Consider the following 4285-nt stretch of genomic DNA (forward strand, 5'->3'; position numbering starts at 1 on the left):
ATTAAAAAAAGTAAAAGGTACAGAAAAGAAGGTTTAACAGGAGGATGACACTACTTTAAAACTGCACATTACAATGAAACCTGGAAAAAGAGTTTTCTTTACTGTAATTATAGAAAAAATTATTTACATTGATACCCTGCTTTAGAAGTTTCCGATCACTTTCCCATATAATATTTGAGCAATCCTATTAGATTCCCTCTGGATTTATGTACAAAAATTGGAGACACACTTTGGGAGCAACATGTTAGTAAATATGGCCAAAAACTAATTTGTATTTAAAAGCAAACGCAGTGTGCTAACACAGTGTTTTGATTACGTGCTTAGGAAATTGACTGAAGATAATGGTGATTTTTTTTTTTTTTTGACAGTCTCCTTCAGTTGCCCAGACTGGAGTGCAGTGGCACGATCTTGGCTCACTGCAACCTCTGCTTCCTGGGTTAAAGAGATTCTCCTGCCTCAGCCTCCCCAGTAGTTGGGACTACAGGTGTGGTGTTTTTTATTTTTTATTTTTAGTGGATGGGGGGTTTCACCATGTTAGCCAGGATGGTCTCGAACTCCTGACCTCAGGCAATCCTCCTGCCTCAGCCTTCCAAAGTGCTGGGATTACAGGAGTGAGCCACCACGCCCGGCTGAAAACAATGTTTTCATGGGGTGGGAAAGGTTGGTTATAATCGGATTCATGCTGCAACTTCTTCTCATAGCTAATATTTACTTTTGTGATTAAACATAGTTTTCTTCTATATAAAAGCCTATAGGTGTTATCAATCCAAATCAAATTACAGAGTGACTGATGTTGAAACAATTTTCTGTCTCTTATGCAAAATCAGTTGCTCAAACTAAGACACAGTCCCTTTCCAATGAAGGAAAAGTCAGGCTGTGCATAAAAAGTGAGACCTTGTTAAGTTGACTCTCACTGTTGACTTAAGCCCAGTGGCTTCCTGCTCCATCTCTTCACTTCTTAACCGAACCTTGCTCCAAGCTTGGTTTCCCTTCGAGAGTCTTTGTAAAACATGTCCCTGACTCCACTTTGTGGAATCTAGCCACCTCTACCAATGGGCAACTCTTCCAGCTCTTAGGCTCTGGCTCTGTTACTTGGCTGCGAGTCTTGGCTCTCCTTTCAGCCAAGCTTTTCATCCACAAATCGTTTCTTGGTGGCAATGTTCTGGATGTAACAGAAATGCACAAAAGTCAGGATGTGTCTGGATGTAACAGAAATGCACAAAAGTCATGCCTTGCTGGAAGCTTCTCTGCAGAGTGACCTTATTCTATTACCCTTATGATAGTACCACGTTTTTAGTCCCTTAATCATGAAGAATTTGAAATCCTCTGATCCAGAGTTTTCACTGGTCATAGAGACTTGGATATTTAGAGAGAAAAATTGGAGAACAGTTTTTTTTTTTTTTTGCTTTCTTAGTTTCTATTGTCTACTGTTTTATATACATTTATGCCCTTTTATATTTTCAATAAGCAACCCTGAGATCCTTCACGGTGGTAACTACTATTAGATAGTCACCAATTTAGGAGCCTCAAAATAGTTTGTTCCTGAGTAATTTCAGTATAGACCAGCGCTATCTCATTCTCTTCTATTGCCATTATACACACCAAGGTTACCTACAAAAAAGTGTTTAAAGATATAAAGATTATCACATTTTTAATGTCCGACTGTGCTTTTTAAATGAAAATATTCCAGCTCATGACATGATTGGCTTTCTTAGTGCCAAAGATCTTCACCTAACAGAGGAAGTTTAATACATCACTATTTTCCTGCAGATAGAAAAGTGCAGGGATCACTGATACAAATGAATATATTCTTTACTCACAAAATTCATAGAAATTCAATTATGACACAGGAAAACATAAACCCAAGTCAATTCTTTTAAATCAATTACAATTGTACAAAATGAATTTATCATAAAATCAGAGTTTAAACGTATTGTTTTATTTTAATTCTAGAGAAAACTTCACCAGTGAGTCTTATTTCTACTGGCTTATGTCAGACTGTGTGTTTTAGTCTCACAAACAGCATTAATACAAAAGTGATGGGTTCAATCTGATTTACTTCCTTACAATAAGCAAATCATTTGAAATTTGAGCATATAATAAATTTCTCATTACTCTCATTGTGATGTTTGTTTCTTTTTCATAGTTTATTTCATGACATGCTTAAACTTTAACCTTTATAAAGATTTAAAAGTGTGATAAAGGTCAAGTGTAAAGTGGGTTATTTTGGCTGTTGGGGCTCAAAAAATAAACCCCAAAAATATGGTGCTTTGATGTGCTGAACTAAAGTAGCAGCTTCAAGGTCTCTCTGACATCCTCCCAATTTTCTCTCTCAATCCTCTTCCTCTCCCAAGCCACAAGATGAGGCTGTTCTCTGAAATTCCCTTATGCACCTAAAACCAGGTCCCCCAGAGAGAAACGCAATTGCCTTCAATCCCTTCCCTGACATTTCGTTATCCAGAGAAGATTAGAACTCATATCAAAGAGGAAGAGATTGAAAATTGAACACCACACCTAGAGCCCAGAAGAACTGCATCCCAAACTACTGTCTGTTCTCTGGTCCCATTTAATTCCCAAAGAGAATTATTTATTAACCATGATCTAAACATTGGCTCTGTTTATCTCTCCTAAAGTCCTAAAGTTCTACTCCTACTCTCCCTCATCTTCCCTTCCCTCATGAAAAAGGATGTATAAGCACCTGGACCTCCTTGCATTGTTGGACAATCACTGTCTGAGACTCCCCTGTGCTATGCATGTTCACTAATCTGTACGGCCATTTCTCCTATGAATCTGCCTTTTGTTGGTTCATTTTCTGCAAGCCTTCAGAGGGAGAAGGGGAAGCTTTCCCTCTGTGTCCCCACGGTGCCCTCCTTTAATTGCCATTTTCCTGTTGTCATTACATCCTTCAAGTATCTGCCTGGTTTTCATGCTGCTAATGTTAGGCTAGTTTTATCAGGGAAAAATATGTTTTTTTTTTAATGTAAAGCACTGCTATTTTATGTTTTTATAGCCTGAACAAATACATCACCCACTCATAGCTCTTATTAATTAATTAATTAATTTAGGGCATGCATACCTGGGAAATGTGACTCAGGAAATGAGCTCTAGAGTAGGTTAGAGCTAATGAGTTATTCATTATGGGTTGGAGAGTTCTTAGAAGCTTTTGGTTTCTCTCTGTCCCACATAGGTCATCAGTTATGTGGACTTCAAGCTAAAATCAAATTGCCACCTATGTACTAAAATATTTAAGTTAGCTAACATGTGGAACATTCTTTTGTATGAACTCCCAGGAAAGAGCATGGAGATTGATAGACTGGACAAAAAGTGAAAATTGGATCATTATTTAGTTACCAAAATACAAATTATTAAGAAAAAATACAGCATTATTTGTAAGATTTGATGTGAATAGAATTGGCCTAGAATAAAGGGTAGATTTTGATGGAAAATTCTGATCATGAGGAACAATTATTGCATTAAAATAGAGAGACATTATAGGTTTATCTGTGGAAAATCTTGTAAATTTTGTAAGAGAAAAACATTGTGTGTGTGTTAATGCACAATGGGCAATATTTTATTAGAATTATTTTGGAGAAATATGAATCAGTAGAATAACAAAAATCACTGAATCCTTTAAGAAAACATATCTGGTTAATGCAGTTTTCAGACATATGGAAACCAAATAAAAATGACAAAGAGACAATGACTGTAATTTTGGCAATTTCCCATTCCCAACCATGATGAATTACAGACTGGATTTCGGGAGCCATGTGTGCAGGAACCTGGGGTTGAGATGGATGGCTCGGGGCCTGGGCTGTGGGTAGGGGTGTGTGCACTGGGCCAGTGTGTCGGCTCTGAAAGGCCTCCACAAGGGACCAAATCAACGCTGCATCATCCATGGAGATGTTTCATGCCTTGTAGTTCACCATCCTGGCTGGGGAGGAAATCCTAGAGATAGCAGTGTGGGACACTTACTTCTCCTTAACACTGACTTGCCAGGTATAATTCTAAACTTAGTTTTCTAAGTTTCATAAACTTTAACTCACAAAACACACAATGTACACACACACACACACATCTCTTCTAGGGGTTGTGAGTAATAGAGAGAGATTGAGATTTAGATGTACCTTGCTCAGAAAAATGCCTGACACAAAATCAATTCTTTCCTGCTGTTGTTGTCATGAATATTATAACTGACATTAAGACTAATGTGGCAAATTAGAGATATTTATATGTGGAAATTAAACGTAGTGGCCTACATTTGTATTAAATAAAGTATTATGCCATG

The 4285-nt window shown here is 37.4% G+C and overlaps 1 annotated feature.

The window, feature by feature from the left end:
• Positions 3702-3864: a silencer, noted in NCBI's record as "fragment chr13:108751669-108751831 (GRCh37/hg19 assembly coordinates)". NCBI's record gives its function as "represses an EF-1alpha promoter that drives an FKBP-Casp9 reporter gene in an ReSE screen in HepG2 liver carcinoma cells {active_cell/tissue: HepG2}" and the evidence as "EXISTENCE:reporter gene assay evidence [ECO:0000049][PMID:32094911]".

Source organism: Homo sapiens, chromosome 13 (genome assembly GCF_000001405.40).
Source record: "Homo sapiens chromosome 13, GRCh38.p14 Primary Assembly".
NCBI classification, from domain to species: domain Eukaryota; kingdom Metazoa; phylum Chordata; class Mammalia; order Primates; family Hominidae; genus Homo; species Homo sapiens.